The sequence below is a fragment of the Homo sapiens genome, chromosome 8, assembly GCF_000001405.40.
Source record: "Homo sapiens chromosome 8, GRCh38.p14 Primary Assembly".
Lineage (NCBI taxonomy): Eukaryota > Metazoa > Chordata > Mammalia > Primates > Hominidae > Homo > Homo sapiens.
This window is the reverse complement of record NC_000008.11, coordinates 18,526,902-18,545,703: the sequence shown is the minus strand read 5'-3', so window position 1 is coordinate 18,545,703 and position 18,802 is coordinate 18,526,902. Positions and strand designations below refer to the sequence as shown.

The window sequence follows — 18,802 nt, the reverse complement described above, 5'->3', positions numbered from 1 at the left end:
TTAACCACGTGCCCTATATTAAAATGTTGCCATAACAAGCTACCTTTTTTGTTTTAGAAGATGTAAATTACATAGGGAAAAACTTAATGAGTGACAAACTTTTATCCTTAGGCAAAATTTAGTCTCTTACCCAGATAGCAGTACCTCTTTAGCCCAGATTACTTATCTTGGGTAAGTGGAAGCTTAACCTTCTATCCTTGTGTTTCAGAGGCTAATTTTTTTTTTTCCATTTTGTTGAACAACAAACTCGGTAATCCCATTAATCAAATCAGGGTGTGTTTTCTTTTTTAATTTTATACTCAGCTATAGTCAAAACCATCACAAGGCCAAGCTGGGTGGGACCTTTGGAAACAGCCAGAGCCAGAGGCCTTGTGGGTGGCAGATCTTCGTAAGGTTGCTCTGTTTGTGGTTTGGAACCGGACAATTTATTTCTTGAGTTTTCCACCTAGAAAATAAAATGTGTGGTATTTTCTAAGTAAGCTTTGTAGACTTACAGAATGTTCATTTTAGTTTCAAAAAAGAGATGAAAAGCTGAATACTTATACAGACTGAGTTTAAAGAATTTTGAGAGCTAGAGAAACAGTGTAAAGAATGAGAGAAATCATAGTATTTTAAAATGAGTTTTCAACAGGAATTGCATACTCTTCTTAACAACTCATATCTCCTTCTTCTTCTCCACAAAGACAACAGTGTTGTTATTCAAAGGTAAAAGCACCTGCTTTCTACTCCTGGTCTTGGCAACTGGTTGGACCCTGAGGAAAGGAATAGCAGGGCCTGGAGGTGGGGAGCGTCTACTGATGGTCACTCAGCTCTCCTTCCTCTCTGAAGGGCCTGTCCAGGAAACTCCGTAGGGGCACTGAAGAGTAAGATAGAGCTGAGTCCACAGTCAAGAGCAGATTCCTATGAGAGCTTCCTGGGGCGAGGTGTGGGAACAGAATGCAGACAAATGAAGTTCTCAGAACACTTTCTACAGACCCAGGCCTCCTGGACTGTGCTAGTGTTGAGCTCTGATTGTACCATTATATTAAAAAGTAAGCTTTTTAATGTTTAATTTTTAAAAAAATGAAAGTCACAGAGTTCATTTAGAGAGCAATAGGGCAGAAAGGGAGAATGAATCAAAAGAACGGAATTCACACTTTCTTTGGATTTCCCAGAAAGCCACGAACACGAACTATATAAATAAAAATGTGTGGTTATTTGCTATATTTAGGCAGTAGGTTACTACTGTACTCTGAAGCCTGACATGGGAGTAGCATAGGGAAAAGAAAAAAAAAAAAACCTGAACATTTTCTTTTTAAAAATGTTATTTCCAGCATAGCTTTCATACAGGAACTCTGTTTTGAATGCAGATGCTTTCTTAAGTCAGTAGGTAGTGGTGGGTGGGCCACCTGGTCAAGGAGAGTCTCTGCAACTCAATTCTGCCATCATCTCGTAGTACGCAGAAGGGAGATGAGCAGTCCTTACTTGAATAAGCAGTTCCTTCAGAAGCTCCTTGTTTTGTTTGGTTTTTTTTTTTTTTTTTTTTTTTTTTTGGTTTGTTTCTTTGTTTTCCATTGTAGAGATCTAGGAGCAAAGTGTATTGCTGTGTACATGAGATTATTGCTTTTCTGCTCATTTTGTCTTAAGATGGCCTTTTGCCCTGTCTGCATGAGAAAACGAAATGTAAGGAGGATATGTATTCAGGATTTGGTTGCTAGAGCAGTGAGGTCTGAATGCAAATAGGAGCAGTCAGTTAAAATTGCAGCCCAGCTGTATTTTCATTCAGGTTGTTACTATCGTATTCATGTATCAGAGGTCAAAAGGAGATATTATTCTATAAAATGGTATGCAGGGCTCTAGAGAGAAACTGTTCAGTGAGATCCATGTAAATATATGTGTGGATATGATTAAACTACTTTTCAAAGAATATCAATAGTTGTAATTTTTTTCAAAACACAATTAACATTCAACCCAAGTAGCAGTTTACATGGTCTTAGACACGATAATTTTTATTTATCCCTCGTAGACATTGATGCTAGTGAAAAGGGATTTTTTCCCTACATATTTGGGAAGTTTTGTTTTTGTTGTTGTTTTTTTTTTTGTTTTTGAGAGAGAGTCTCGCTCTGTCGCCCAGGCTGGAGTGCAGTGGCGTGATCTAAGCTCACTACAAGCTCCGCCTCCTGGGTTCAGGCCATTCTCCTGCCTCAGCCTCCCGAGTAGCTGGGACTACAGGCGCCTGCCACCACGCCTGGCTAATTTTTTTGTATTTTTGTTAGTAGAGACGGGGTTTCACCGTGTTAGCCAAGATGGTCTCGATCTCTTGACCTCGTGATCCGCCTGCCTCGGCCTCCCAAAGTGCTGGGATTACAGGTGTGAGTCACCGCGCCTGGCCATATTTGGGAAGTATTTTTACAGATAATCGAAGATCAGCTTAATAAAGAAATACAGCAAAAAAATGTAATAAGGAGGGGTTACACACTGAAGAAAGAATTTTACTTGAGTAGACAAAGGCGCCATTAAACACTTGAGTTGCCTTTGGCTCTTGGTGGTCACAAAAGGCTTTATCAAAACAGCAAATTTTAGTTAATTAAGAGAGAGAGCTCACTGAATGGGCCAGGTCCAAGAAAACGGTATGTAGATTCTTGTCAGCAGAGATCTGCCATTGCAGTTGTATTTGGTAAAATTCCATCCCAAGTTATTTTTCTGATAGTGGAATTATATTATGCTTACACTGCTGGAACTCTATTTACCCTGTTGGAGCATTCCTAAGGAAGGAAGCTGAGTGTGGGGCTCTGAAATTATTTAGAATTGACCTGAGAATGAATCTGCAGAGACAAAGATAAAATCTTTAATAACATAACCAAAGGTAGCAAAACTGACCCTGAGGCACGCATTTTTCTGGAACTGTCTTTGTCCTTGTAAATGAAAGACACATACCTGAAAGGGCTACATTATGAAGACTAAACAACAATTTCAGAGAATGAATTAAGGCCAGTCTTATTAGTTAGAGGCATTGTCAACAACAGGCTACTTGACTGCAAGACTCTTCTTTTTACCGCCACCATGCTTTCCATGGGCTCATTATTAAACATCCCATCTCATTTTTAATGTGCCCTATCTGGAACTATGTTAATTTTTGTGTAGTGATTACTTTGTGGCCTGAAATTATATTAGTTAAAACATATTGTTGCTGTTTCAGATTCCCTTTTCTACCATCTGGCTATAAAAAATTATCAAAGCGAAGATATAATACTTGAATATTGTTATTATTTGTTTAGTACCAACAGCAGATTCCGTCCTGAATTCATGTTGATGAGGCTAATATCCTCTGACCCAGAGAACTTAGAATCTTAGGTTAGTATGGAATTATGTATCCAAAGGTAAATGAGCTCCTGATACTTTACATGTCAATTTCATGTGAGAATGATCAGGCAAGTAGATTCCAGATATAAATAATCCTTGACAAATCCTTATCTTTTTAATGTATGCTTTTAGAAGACAAATGTAGAGCATTCTCTTCATGTTGTAATGAATTGTAATGAGACCTAGTAATTATCCAAATGAGGACTCACTGGAGTCCACCTACAGTGGTCCAGTTTCTCACTTTATTTTGAAGCTCACAGTGGGCAATAAAGTCTATTTTTCATGTACTACTACGTAAGAGATTCTCAGGGCCGAATGAGGTGGCTCGCCCCTGTAATCCCAGCACTTTGAGAGGCCGAGGCAGGAGGATCACCTGAGGTCAGGAGTTTGAGACCAGCCTGACCAACATGGAGAAACCCCGTTCTCCAGTAAAAATACAAAATCAGCCAGGCGTGGTGGCGCGCATACCTGTAATCCCAGCTACTTGGGAGGCTGAGGCAGGAGAATGGCTTGAACCTGGGAGGCAGAGGTTGCAGTGAGCCGAGATCGCCCCATTGCACTCCAGCCTGGGTGACAACAGCGAAACTCCATCTCAAAAAAAAAAAAAAAGATTCTCAGAAAATGGGTCTATGTTTTATGAACCTCAAAAGTGTAATATAACCTACGTTTCTCTCTAAAGAGAGAGAAAAAGCCCCAGTCCTAAGCAAGGCAGGCTATACCTCAGTGCACTGTTGAGGATCTGACACGTGTGGCATCTTGACAACAGAGGTCAAGAGAATATGCAGTGGAAGTGGACAAGCCTTTGTCATGTGGTGGCTTATGAGCTTCAATACTGACAGGGTCAGACCTTAGCATTTTTGTGAAAAACATCATTGGAACGGTGGGATACTGAAGATAAAGGTGTGTTCCCAGAGGATCCTGAATTAGGAACACATCAGGCATCTGCCATCAACGTGGGTATCCGTGTTATTTTTCTTTTTCTGGATTTGCCATATTACGAGTTCAAAATATATTTTCTACCGTGTATGGAAAAATGTGTTCCTCCTCTTTCTGTTCATGCACTCAGTGGCGCTTATTCCTTGTCCACTGTGTGTTCTTGGCCCTGGGGATATATTAGTAAACAAACGCAAAGTCCTTACCCTCATGTGATGGTATCTAGTATTGGGGGGCAAAGGAGGAAATCAAAAGGTTTTTTTTTTTTTTTCAAGTAAAATATAAGGCTGACAGATGGGGAGAAGTGCTAAGGAAAACATAAAGCAGTAAGAGTAGGTGTTCCAGTTTTAGATTTTGATGGCCAGGGAAGGCCTCAGTGTCAAAGTGATGTTAAAGTGCACACCTGAAAGAGGTGAGGGAGGGGAGGGAGGAAGTCCTGTGGGCTTTTGGAAGAAGAGCTTTTTGGACAGAGAATAGCAAGTTCCACAGGTCCTCGAATAGGAGTGTGTGCCATGGAGGCAGATTCAAGCCCAGGGACAGAACTGAGAGACTGGGCCACGGGAAAGGGGTGGCCCATGGGTTTTCTAGGGCATTTTAAGGATTCCTGGTTGAGAAGGGTTTTAAGGATGAGAATTAAGGATGAGAAACCACTGGAGTACTTTGGGCAGAGCTGACACACTCTGTCTTGTGTTTTAACAGGGCAGTGTCTTTTGAAAGGAGTGCACGTGGAGGGCAAGGAGGGAACAGGGAGAGCAGTCAGGCGACTGTGGGAGGAACCCAGGCGCAAGGTGATGAGCTCGGTCCAGACTAGAAATGGGAGAGGTACTGAGAAATGGTGCAGTTCTGAAGATAGATGGACAAAACCTGCTGACTGAAAGGATGTGAGACATTAGAGAAAAAGAAGAGTGAAGGAGCAAAGCTTTTATTGTCAAATTTCCTTCTTCACCACTTAAGAATTATCCCTAAGCTTTCTCCCTAAGTACTAGAGTGCTAATCATTTCCTAGAACCTGAAAGTGGTTACAGACACAGGCATACCTGAGATACTGCAGGTTCAGTTCCAGAGTATTGCAATAAAGCAAATATCACAATAAAACAAGTCACCCAAATTTTTTTGTTTCCCAGTGCATATAAAAGTTGTTTATAGCATACAGTCATCCGTTAAGTGTACAATTGCATTATGTCTTAAAAAACAATGTATGTACCTTAATTTTAAAATACCTTATTGCCTACCACCTTCTATCAGAATAGCAAAAGAAGCTGCTTTCATAAACTGTCCTAGCAGACTTCTACTTACATGTCAGGGGCCAAATCTAGGCCACAGGGCAGCAGTGGAAACTAACAGAGACAAGGGTCATCACGCCTGCTTTAAACCATAATTCCTCTCATGGGGCTGGGCACGCTGGCATTCTTAATAAAGCGCACAGTTCCATTAGTACGAAAGAAGAGGCTGTTCAGGAAGCAGGAAACACCGTCTGCCGCAATATGATTGATGAGCTTCTTGGGTCCATGATGACCACTTGAACACTGATCATTGTTTTCAGTCTCTGAGCTGGTGTGTCAAACCTTTAAAAAGTAATTTACTGGCCGAGTGTGGTGCCTCACGCTTGTAATCCCAGCAGTTTGAGAGGCCGAGGCAGGCGGATCATGAGGTCAGGAGATCAAGACCATCCTGGCCAACATGGTGAAATCCTGTCTCTACTAACACAAAAAAAATTAGTCGGGCTTGGTGGTGCACGCCTGCAGTCCCAGCTACTCCAGAGGCTGAGGCAGGGGAATTGCTTGAACCCAGTCGGCAGAGGTTGCAGTGAGCCGAGATCGCGCCACTGCCCTCCAGCCTGGAGACAGAGCAAGACTCCGTCTCAAAAAAAAAAAAAAAAAAAGTAATTTACTAATATACTTCTTGCTGCTCCTTTACTTTTTCTTACACACCAGCTTTCATTTAAAACTTAAATTTCACAATCGGTCTTAGGAAAAAAGATGCAAATCACATCTTCTCTGAAAGGAAGAAAGGAAATAAAGTCTCCAAATGATGCTGTTGCATAGTTAAGAAATATGACCTTCCTACTGCCCAGAAAGAGAATATGAGGCGAAATCAATGAAGAGAGAAATTTCAGTTATGTTTCTTGCCCTTGCTCTCCAGAGCATCATTCAGAGTTATTTTTCTTTATTCTGAGACAATTTTATTTTGTCCTCAAATCCTCTGGATAGCATTTACATATGTGGTTGAGTCTGTAATCCTAGAGATACTTGGCTAAAACTAATACCTGCTGGTTAGTCCTGAAGTTAAAGTTACGTTTTCCTAAAATGTTTTGAAGAGGTATATTTGGTTTGGTTCAGTAAAATCTAGACTCAGAGACTGGTAAAATGCAAAGCTACATTTCTGGGTTTTGTAACCTGTGTCCCTATAAGCCTTTTTTAAGTCAGAAATGGGGCACGGCGTTTGCAAACTCATCAACCCTCGAAGGCTTCCTTAACAGCAGGGCAGGCTTTGTTTTCTGGCCCCTCTCACCCCCTTTTTTCTGCTTTGTCTTTACTTCTGATCTGATGACTCATGCACTGCCACACCTCTGTGCTGTGCCTTTTGTTTGTTGATTGACACACTGATGTAATTTATTTAAGACAATAGCTTTGCAGCTGGAGCTGTAAAATGAGTGGATGAGATGGCTTTCCTTCATGTATTTTTCAGGTGGATTTTCCTAGTAGTATCACTTTATTCAAAGACTACTGGAAAACTGTCCCTATCATCTTTTCTCCTTTTGTCCCCTTTCAAGTGATCTAAACAATTTTTCTTCATTCTCTTTTCATTGTGTCAACGCTCCAGCTTCATGAAATCGTATGCCTTACGCTGGTTTCCTGAATCTATTTTTAAACTTACCTTTAGACTATTTTACCAAACTTTGTTTCTGTTGGGGGTAGTTCTTTTCTGTTTTTTAATCTTGCCACCAAGGCAGTTTAGGAGTAGATTAATTAATAAATTCATAAAATGAAGAGGCGTTTAGAATCTTTATGTCCTGTGGATATTATCTTGTTCAGTCCTCTGATTTCATAGTGCATCTACTGATGGGTGATACTGATGACATTTTTTACTAGCAAACCTTATGAAACTATCATGTGGCCTTCTGAGATAATGCTTAGCATGCTATTCTGTATTTTGTTACTTCTTTATTGAAATTGGAATGTGTGTTTAGTAATGCTTTAAACTGCAAATAACAATACTTGATAAACAGTGGTTTAACCCATAGGATATTTATTATTCATATTTAACATGATTCCAGAGGTTGTAGCCTTAGGGTTGGATCCAGCTCATCATGTCAACATGGCTCTCTCCGTCTTTCCATTTTTCCTCAGGTGCAGCATGTTGTCCTATTTCCTCATACCTACTGCCCATGTCACGGGGCAGCAGCTTTAGGAGTCATGTCCATGTTAAGGAGGGAATAAGAGTAAGAGGCTAGGCCACGTGCAGTGGCTCACGCCTGTAATCCCAGCACTTTGGGAGGCCGAGGCGGGTGGATCACCTGAGGTCAGGAGTTCGAGGCCAGCCTGGCCAACATGGCGAAACCCCATCTCTACTAAAAATACAAAAATTAGCTGGGTGTGGTGGTGTGCGCCTGTAATCCTAGACACTTGGGAGGCTGAGGCAGGAGAATTGCTAGAACCCAGGCGGTGGAGGTTGCGGTGAGCTGAGATCATGCCACTGCACTCCAGCCTGGATGACAGAATGAGACTCTGTCTCAAAAAAAAAAAAGAATGAGAGGCTAACACCAGTGACTTCTCCTTAAAGTCTGTCCCTTTTATCAGAAAGCAAAATCTCTTTCCCAGAAGCCCCCCAAAAGACTCTTCCTTACGTCTTACTGGTCACAATATCACATGGCCCAACTTAGCTACAAGAGAGACTGGGAAAGTAAGTATCTCTGGTTTTATCAGTCTTTGTAGTGAAAGGCACATGAGAGTAGAAGGAGTTGAGAATGGCCTTTGACTGGCCAAACAACAGTGTCTGTCAGAGGAGTCATCCTAAAATCTATATACATATAATCTATATTTTCATATCAATGGAGGTAATATAGCTTAAGAGCCGTGGGTTTTGAACTCAGATTGCCTTGGTTCAAATCCGAGTTTCATTTCTTCCTTACTTTGACTTTGAACTTGTCTTTGCCTTTGTTGCCTTAACTGTAAAGCAGGGATGGTAAGTTATCAGTTGTGTATGAATATTGTGTGAATGACCTGTGTTAAGCTGTTGGTACTCAATAAATGTCATCATCGGCAACCAGCGCTCACACCCCACTTGAATCCTGGCCAACCCCAGAACATACTGAATGTCTAGCAGCTTTTTCCCATTGTTAAACGAAGCAGCTTGAAAAGGTAGCACTTCTAAATTACTAACTTAAAACTGACACGTACAAAACCCCAATCTGACTAGAAAAATCCCTAAGACGGATGTATAGTCAAAACAGAATTTGCCTGCCTTTGTTGGGACAGTTTATATCTGACATGTTCTTTGGTTTAGAAATAAAACACTTTAAGCTTTCTATAAATTCTTCATGCGTTGAGGCAGGATGGTGGAATACTTACTTTACCAGAATGTGTCAAATTAAGAATCTGAGACCCTTCTCTAATTTGCAACATATATGATAGTTCTATATATTGATTGGGATAGAAACTGGAAGAAAAAAAAAGTGCCAGAGCCATGGAAAAAGAAAAAAAAAATCTTAGATATCCAAGAGACGGAGGAATCAAGGAACTGTTTGAAACATAGTAGGTACTCAGTACATAGTTGGTAATGAATATTGTTGATTTGGAAAAGCATCAGAAAATAACTTGAAATTCTGCCAGCTTCATACTGTTCATAGCAGCACCTGTTCATAATAACCGGAGAAGTGGGTAATCCTTGCAGAAAAGCAACGGAGGGAAACCCAGAGCAGCTTCTAGAAGGTGGTATGGTCTCATAGGGGACTGACTGTCCAGGAGATTAGCCACGGAATGGTCCCTCAAGGCAAGCCTTTGTAGGGTTACAGGGAGTCAGAAAAAGAGTAAACAACCATATCCAAGCCAGTTTCTTGTGAGGCCTGGACTACCTGGGGAGGCTCAGGTGACTTTGGTACAGAGCCACAAGAGCCATGCAGCCGCCGAAAACCAGAGGTGACAGCTCCTCCAACTTAGACCCTTCTCATGCCTGAGTGTTCTAGATTCATGGTGTTCCATCTGGTAGCCAGCAACTCCAAGTTGACATTCTGTCAGAATCTAGAACAAATGAGAACTAAAATTCTAACTTAATTTCTTATCTACATAAGACAGTCTCTGTAGTTGCCTCTCATGTGCCCAGTAAGTGCCCAAGTAATTTGTCAGTTTGGGAAATGAAGCGAAGTCTTCAACAGCCATTCACACTCTCCAGGTGGGTAATACACAAGTGTGCTGCACACGTGCATTTTGAACAGTTTTCTGACTACCGTTGTTCTCTGGCTTTGCCTTCAGAAAACCCGCTATGAAATGTATGTCAGCATTCTCAAGGAAGGAGGCAAAGAGCTACTGAGTAACGATGAAAGCGAGGCTGCAGGACTGAAGAAGTCGCACTCGAGTCCTTCGCTGAACCCGGATACTTCTCCAATCACTGCCAAAGTCAAGCGTAACGTGTCAGAGAGGAAGGATCACCGACCTGAAACACCAAGCATTAAGCAAAAAGTTACTTAGAGTCCATCTGCGGCCAGGAAGTGCTGGTCATGGAGCAAAATAGGGTTTTTCAAGATCTTTCTGGTAATCCGTGAATATATTTAAAAAAAAAAAGTCTGTGACAAAACGGTGCATTAGTAATTTTTTCTATTGTATATTTTTGTTAGTTTCTGTACAGATTGTCTTTGCTCTTGATTTCTTTTGCTTTGATGATTTTTGCAACTTGATAGCTAATGCACCTTTTCTGTGAGGAGGAGGGGATCGTGATTTCAGAATGAATTATGTATCCCTTCTCTTTTGGTTTTCTCTTGTTTGCAGTCTGCTCAGTTGTTTTATGTATTCTCATATCAACTGTTAAACTTTTTTTTAAGGTTAAAGAATTTAATCCATTGTGAAACACTTAACTGGACAAACTGTAGTTTTAGTAAATTCTAGCTGGAGTTAATATACGCCTTTATATGTGAAATCTTGCCCAGTCACAGAGGTAGAATTGAGCACTCACAGATGCTCCAGTAAGAATCACAGTGCTGGGAATCTAGTTGCTCCAATATGAGGCAGCTTCATGTGCAGCTTAGCACTTGTTGTTGAGATCGGACCCTGCTGGAAGCAGGGAAAAGAAGCGTGAAGATCGTAGGATTGAGAACTTAGGGAAGCACATTAGCTTGCTTGAAGTGCTGATTCCATTTCAGCCAAGCAAGGGAAAGAGGAAGTGGAGTCATTTTGCCTTTGAAGGCTGAGGAAAGATTGATACCCAGTTAATTTTGTTTGCTAAAGGATGGGGGCAATAATCGGCCCTTGAGGAGCTGCAGCAGTAGGCATGTGCTCAGTCTGCAGGAATTGTTACCTCACTCCCACAGGGTCTAGACTAGAAATCCATCATCTCTATCGTTGATATCCTTCCATCCAGGAATAGATTTTTCTTACTCTACATATGTGTGTGTGCGTGCGTGTGTGTGCGTGTGTGGGCATGGGGTTGTGTCCTGGTTGTGATATTGAGGTCTTCCTTCCTAACAAATTAATACTAAAATGAAACAGCTTTTCTTGTGTCCTTAAGACAAAATAAGGAAGGAAAACGTAGCTGCAGTTGTCCACGATGGATATTGGTTCTTTAAAATATATCTGAAAGTAGTAGTCAGAATGAATTATGGTTGGAAAACTGAGGAATCTTCTGGTTGCAGGTGCAAAGTGACTTTGTTTATTCTTGTCTCAGTCTCCTTGATAGCCACTTCACTCTGCTACTACTCAACTTTCTCCTAAAAATACTTCATCTATTTTCAGTCCTTTCTTTCTGTCTACTCAAAATGGTTCTATTAACTTTGCAGTCATGAGCTTGTTCCAGTTACAGTCCCTTTGAAGTTCAGGGTGATAAACAGAATATTCTTCTGTAGAGGAAGAGAAAGGAGTGAAAGTTTAGCCCACTGAGACCTAGAGCTTTGTGATTTCCTAACCTTGAAACTCTGTAATCCCTAAAGTTAAAATCTCCGCAAGTGGCACAACTTCAGAACTAATAGTATCACTTTGATTTTTCTTTTTCCTCCCTTAGAAAGTTTCTCTAGTTCTATAGTTTATTTGTTGAAGGTACTATGACCAAAGAATCAGCTGCTCTACAGGAATAGCATGGTTCCAGTGAATTAGAGAAAACCTGCTGTAAAGCCATGGTAGTGTCTAAGTGGTATGTTATTATGATGTACTAGCATTTATTTACAGAATTATTTATTAACGTTTACTTCCTTCCCCTCTGTAAATGTCCATGACTATTGCCCAGAGAAGGCTTACCCCTCTCTAGGGTTGCAGTTGCTTTCTTTGTAATAAGTATTTTGCCACACCTGTAAAAAAAAAAACCTCACTTTTAACTCTCTGCCTTGTTTGGGTAAAGGCAGTAACTAAGTTTATGTTTCAGAACTGCAAAACAAACAGGATAGTTACCAATATGGCCCATGTATCAGATTGATTTTTGTAGCCTCTCACTGAATCCAACATATCCACAAGCAAGTTATCTGTCTTTCTACCTGATAATCTAAATTATCAGGATATTTGTTTTCTGCCTAAATGTTTATACTAAGCCGAGGGGAGAGAGGTACCTAGACCATGTCATCTACAAGCTTCAGTAACTAAAGAAAAAGGAACTTCCCTGAGTGGCTTGAATGTGTTTGCCCACAGTCTATATCTATGTATATAGAATGTCTGTATGTATTTTACTTATTTAATATACATTGAATGGTACCTTGCTACAGTATTTCTGACATTTAGAGTAGTGTTGAAATACTCGGCTAGCATCAGCACCACTATAGCACTGTCCGTGTCATATGAGTCACTAATATTAACTCCAGGGACTTCTGGATAGGCTAATAGATCATTGGATACGAAGGGCTCTTTTGAAGCTTCAGTATACCATGTTTGCATAGTTTATCTTTAAAAACAACTTTAAAGGTTCTTTTGTGAGCCAGGATCTCAGACTGCCGTAGCATGATGCTGTCCATCTTTAGCGCATGGGCTGAGAACACCTCTTCCCTGAGGCTTCTGAAGGTTGCTGTCTGTCATGAGTGCATGAAGGAGGCCAAGAGTTTATGCTATGGGAGGAAACAGTCACTGATTTGCCTAGATTCTGAGAGTCTGGCCCATAGCCAACCACATTTTCCTTTGGGATAATTTATTTCCTGTGGCATCTAGCCAGAAGAAATTGAGGATGTTTCCTTTCACAGCTGCTCCAAGCCTGTTGCCCAATTCACGGTACAAGGGAGCACCCCTTCCCTTTCCTCTGAAGGTACGCCACCCACCTCCGTCGCCCACCTCAGCGCCCAGGAGCCTTGGGACTTCCTTCCATATGATAAATCATTCTTCTTCACGTCAATACACTTCATATTAATTTCTAGTACAGAAAATCTTGACAGCTATCAGAATGCCTTGGTCATAGTGTTGTTGCAAAATTGACCATACAGGTGGCCCATGTATAAAATCTGAATTTTAGGGGTTTGTCCCCACCTCGCATGCTGGCTTTTACAGGGAGGTGTCTGGGATTCCTCATTAGCAATCAAAACTTAATTACTGGGATGCAGAGTCCTTACTTTATCGCCAGCCCGTAGGCATTTCTGAAGTGCACTTTTTTGAAACATCATTTTGCTAACTCTCAGCAGTGTCTAATTAAACTGAGCAATACTTTTGTGAATTTTAATTAATCTCAGCAAAACCATGATGGGAGAGAGTCCTCTGATGGAAATGTAGTCCCTGGATTATGTGTAACCTTTTTATTCCTCTTAGATGCAGAGGATAGAAAGCATTTTTTGGTGCAGTGGTCTTGTGGCAAACACAAGACCCTCTATGCGTCTCCAACTGTTATCCTAATCTAGAAAATGAGGACTGGCCCCTGGGCAAAAGTGACATGAGGAATTTACTCTGGAAGAGGAAAATCTGGGTGGCTTTCCAAGGCTAAGATAGGTTTGTATTTCACCCTGTGGCCAAGCTACAGAACTTCTGAGATTGTGGAAGAATTTTTGCAACCAGCAGGGAAAGAGGCCTCTTACTGCCTAAACACAAAGTTACACTGAGCTTTTCTACTGTCCTTTGCCTATTGCTCCCTCTATCATGTAAAGATCTGGGAAGGATGAGAGGCAGGGCCTGCTTGTCATGAGCTGCACTCTTTTCTTTTTAACTAATCATTGACAATTGGAAGAAAATTGACGTTAAAGAAGTTTCTCCATTGTCTTACTAACAAAACCTTTTGGGTTTCATTAATTGTCCTTGAAATTGAGTTCCTTTGGCATTTTTCCTTGCAGTCATCAGTTAAGCATGTTGCATCCTGAATTCACAGAAGTTTAGCTTTGCAGGTTTGAATCTCTGTAATTTAACTCCCGTGGACTTGGTCGAGTTTTCAGCAGGTTGGGAGCCACCTCTCTTCATTTCAGCAGTGAGTCATCCCTTGACTTTTCAAATGACAGAATTTTTTCCAATTGTAAAATTAGCACTGTAAAACAAAGAACCAAAGTGGCATCCTAAGAGTTGTTAAACCTGAAGTCTAGTTTATGAGGAATTGTCCAAGTTGGAGTTTAAATAGTATCTGCTTTTGTCTCAAAGCATCTAAGTTATTCTGACAGAAAATGGTAAGTCAGCTTTGCAGGCAGATGCGCCTCTGGGCCTCCTACCTTGCTCCACAGCTTTCTGGCCATCTTGTCTCCCAGGCCATGCCACTGCTCTGCCACATGTCAGCAAATTTCTTTCCACCAGTCTTATAGCATCTTACATGATCAAATCATCACAGAATAACCCCGTGATAGATTATTGATAGCAATAGAGAGGGGCTTTGTCACTGATTTTTCTCTCAGATTCCTTTTCCATCTCTCATCCATAAAGGAAGGACTGAAATCCAAAGGCATTCTCCTTTTGTACCTACAGTATCCAGAACCCACGTGGGCAGCCTTCTGCTTATGACAATAATTGGCCCATTGCATGCAGAGAGAATGTCTTCATAGAGAGAATGTCATTAAATACTTGAATCTGCATGACAGTTTGACTTGAATGCAACAGCAGGAAAATTTTGCAAGTTACATAATTGTATATACAGTAGGTTTTCTTAAGTCTCTTCGGTTCATCCTTTGTAATTTGTGTGTGTATCTGTAGTATTGCAGGCTTTTGGAGACTATTCTTACAGGCAGTATGTCAGTCATCAAAGAAAATGCTGTCACCTGCCATTGTTGTATTTGTGGGTATTTATAGTTGTATGTATGTAAATGCATCAGTGTGTAGATTGCATATCAGTGTATGGTACATGTACATCAAAATTATTTTTGTCCTTAATCAGTGTGATATGAAAAGCAAGTACAACCTCATAGGACTGATTATATAATGAAGTTGTTGAGAGTATATATAGTGGTATTGTTTTATTAAACTTAAACTCAAATAATATTTTGATTAAAATTTTTAATAAGACTTTATGCTAGAAAATTCTTTGAGCTTTGAATCACCAGGGCAAAAATGACTTTCAACTAACCTTGTGAATCTTTTGCAGTGTACTGTGTGCAATACCAAGGGCATAGCTCCCTGTAATTTGGGAAATACAGAAAGAAAAGAAAAAAAAAAAAAAAGGCAGCCTGTGCAGTCTTAGTAACTTTAGTATTAAGAGCACTTAAAGTCAAACTGACAATTTTGGGCTTATTACAAAATGTGATGCTTTAAAGCACACGTTCTTTATTGTTGTTGTAATTAGTCCATAAAAAATATAGCTTTCGGAAGAATTAAGTACCCACCATATCATTTATGTATTTGTGTATGTTTTACGGGAGATCAAACCACTCTCGTGGTGCCGCATCCGTACTCGCTTGACTTGGAAGAAATATCACAAGCACTAAAGTATATCAGGGCATCCCAGGATTGGGTACTGTATCCTAGGTTTGCAGTTGCAGAAATTAGCATCTAGTGTCACAGGTAAAAGAATTTCAGGACCAGGTTTAAACTTTATTTTAAATATTTTTATACTTAGGTCTCTTTTTCCTGCCTCTCCCCAAAGAAGAGCCACTGGCCTTAGTTGTTTGAGCTTACTGCTTATATTATAGAGTGTAAATAGGTAACTAGAGACTAAAATTTTATTAACCAGCATGTTTGGTATATTTAAAGCAGTGACTGAGTGTGTTTGAGTGAGTGGCTGAGTGCAGTGTCTTTTGTTTAAACACACTGCCTCGTGTCTTTGTAGCTGATTCAGAGAGTTTGAATTGTGGGGTGGGAGACTAACTTCAGCTCCAGGCTGCAGTAATGTGTTGGTAGTTACACTTGAGGCATTTTTTTGTTGTTGTTAATTAACTCTATAGTCTCAAACTATTTTTGCAAATATATCATTTTTCCTAATTGGTTCTTGACGTGCAGTGGACTGGCTCTGTGAATGATTGGCAGGGTCTTAGTTTTGCGAGAGTATTTCCTTCTAAGAATTATTGTGATCTGCAGAAACAGCCATTTGATTCAAAAATCATGTAGAAAAGGAGTAGGAGAAGCAAAACGTTTCATTTTTGGGCCTTAACCATTTGAAATGTTTGGACTTTAAACATAAAGCCATGGAGTTTATAAAGCCAAGTAACCATTTGATATGGATAATAATATCTACTCTAGAGAGAGTATATATATGCACATTGATTTTTAATGCTGTTAAGATACTTTTGTAAAACTGTAGGAACAAGAGTAATTAGACCAAATTGAAGCTTAGGGGACAGTAAAGTGGTTGCTTTCCATTTAGGGTAACCATGCATGTGGTTAGTCCTCTCCTCCTGAGATTCAGAACCAGTTGACTGTCCCCTTAGGTGTATAAGGAGAAAAGTTGACATGTCTGGGACCTCTGACATGTGTACACATGCTTGCACACATGCACACACAGTGAATGTTTTAAGTTATACAAACATAAGACCTTAAGATGCAAAGAGCCAGAATATTCTAAAGAGGTGATGAACAGAGGGGGTGGAAACTGCATCACAGATGTTTTCCAAGGGCCAGGGTGGAATCTGAGCTCTAGTGTCTGACTTTGAGATGCATTATATTTTTAACACATAAATGAGGGGATCCATATCACATTCTTTCTTGTGGACCACCAAATTGAAGGCTTTCTTGTAATTCACAAGCAGCAGCTCTCCAGCATCTCTCCGTAGCCTGGGTGAAGTCCCAGAAGCTGGTGTGCATCATTTTCCAAGGTGGCAGAGCTGCTTGCTCTGCAGATCATTCCTTTGAGAGAGGAGTACAAGTGAAGAAACAAGGAGGCACTTCCTGTAGGAGCACTGATGTGCCTTGTCCACACTCCCCTCTGAGCTTTACTGGTAAGAGAGCTCCGACTGAACATGCTGAGCAGTTGAGCACTTTTCCATCAGCAACAACAGCGAGGATGGAAATGGAAAGGAACCGAACTAAAATGCATTTCCCTTTGCAGGGCAGAGAGCTAAGCTCTTAGGAATAGTGTTATAGAAATAAGCACCCTAACTTCAATTCCTGAAAATGTTGGTTAATGGAGAGAATTTTGGAGTTTCACTTAATATTTTCCCATCGGTCGCCATAAATAAGTCTTCAGGCGCTCCTAGAAGAGTCCCAGCCCAAGGCTCGATTAAGGACCACACTGCAGGTCTGAGGCTCACTGCTCTGAGTCCTGAACACCAGAGCCCTGCAGAGAGTGGTGATAACACATCATCTCTGCAAAGAGGAACCTCTCCCCCGGCCGCCACTTCACTCAGGCTTCTACTGAGCAGCAAGGACAGCCTGGGTTTCAAATGCCACTTCCCCTGCTTTAGGGATCCAGGTGTCCTGATAGCGTGACCCTGCTGAGGCAAGGTATCAACTCCGAGAGTGACTGAGTCACTGAGCGTGGCACATGAACAAACGTCATGACAAAGATTCTCTGAGTGAAGTTAACACCACGTATTTTACCTTTGCAAAAAACAAACTGGCACCCTGAGTTCTAACTACGGACGGACGATATCTTTGCCTCCACACCCAGATTCCTGGAAATGGCTAACGTTTCCTTTCTAGGGGAAGGGTCGAGGAATACTCAAGTGCTAGCTTAGCAGCTTTGTTCAGTCCAGATCAGAGCTGTTAGGTAAAGGCCTAACCACCTCCCTGCAGTCTCTTATATCTCAAGCTTTAGGAACCCATTTCTAAATGTACACTAGCGGAGAATTTATATTGTCAGCCTTGATTACCATAGGACAGGCAGAAAGGCGATAATTTGTATCTTTTAATATAAAAGAAGCTTTTAACTTTTCCAGCCTATTATAATAACTGAGTTATATTCACTGTGGCTCAAACTAATTGGCATTGTGGAACATTTCTTTACCTTCAAAGTTTTCTCCACCAATCATTTCAGTTCTATTGCAGTCCTGGTGCCATATGTCCCCTGCAAATTGTGAAAGTAATTAGTGACAAAATAGCAGCCTGCTCCTTTTCAATGGCGAAACTGTCGGCATTAGCAGTTTTGGGTAAGCTGGCGGTACTATAACACGTACTGGAAACCTGTTCCTCATCACCACCTACCAGATTCTGGAAATGCCGTCTTCTAGAAAACGATGGCGTTTGTGGTGGTCTTCTTTTGAAAGGAACAGTAATTTGTGTGGATATTGTTAAAGTGTTTAAAGAATATTTTGACAATTAAGTTTACATTTTACAATTGCTTTATTTTTTATTAAAATAGTTGTATATAAATATTACCCTATTTCACTGTTGTTCAAGTAAATCTAAACCTTGTAGACAAGTGAGTCATCTGATATGTATAGAAGCTGTGATATATAGAGTACATTTATTGTGTAAATGTTTATGAATATAATTGTTCCTGTGTTTTTATAAGTTGGGGATATTTTGTTGTTTTACGGCAACAAAATTTATTGCATTTAAATGGTTTTTATGTAATAGAAATCACGCAAAATAGTGAAGGATTTAAAATATGTATATGATACATGTAAATGTACAAACTTTAGAAAGAAATAAATCCAACAAATTTCAATCATTTGAGGGAATGTTTTTATTTGCTTATTTAAGCAGCTATAATAATACCTTTAAAAATCAAATAACACCACACTCTGCCTGCCTCCATAAAAACACAACCGCAAGCCCCACATTGAAAGATGCCACCAGAGTGGTTGAACACAGTGGTGAGAAAATCAGACTAACACCGACTCACCTCCACACATTTCTGTGAAGATTTGTGTTTGAACACTTCAGAGATCTGTTGTCTTCACTAAGGGGCTTTGAGCAGGGGAGGAGAAAATAAACTTTTAGAAGCAATTTCAAGAGCCATTTGCATTCCCATTTATTTCTCATCAAGGCAAAGAGACCATGCAGCTATTTATTGTCCTAAAATGCAAATGCTGATCTCCAAATCACTGCCTTACTCTGCCTGGTGTGTAC

The 18,802-nt window shown here is 40.4% G+C and overlaps 1 protein-coding gene across 22 annotated transcripts in view, besides 1 other annotated feature; it reads left to right on the top strand.

Annotated features, from left to right (window-relative positions):
* Positions 1-18,401, top strand: part of PSD3 (pleckstrin and Sec7 domain containing 3) — a 557,503-nt gene extending 539,102 nt beyond the window's left edge. For all 22 annotated transcript variants that reach the window (NM_001412865.1, NM_001412866.1, NM_001412872.1 and 19 more), the window contains one exon: positions 9,746-18,401. In NM_001412865.1, coding sequence (NP_001399794.1) covers positions 9,746-9,961 — 216 coding nt within the window. In that variant the 3' untranslated portion in view covers positions 9,962-18,401. The remainder of the gene's footprint in view (positions 1-9,745) is intronic.
* Positions 7,842-8,405: an enhancer, noted in NCBI's record as "H3K27ac-H3K4me1 hESC enhancer chr8:18394809-18395372 (GRCh37/hg19 assembly coordinates)". NCBI's record gives its function as "activates a minimal SCP1, AML or CMV promoter by ChIP-STARR-seq in naive H9 embryonic stem cells {active_cell/tissue: H9 hESC(naive)}" and the evidence as "EXISTENCE:reporter gene assay evidence [ECO:0000049][PMID:30033119]".
* Positions 18,402-18,802: the final 401 nt, after the last annotated feature.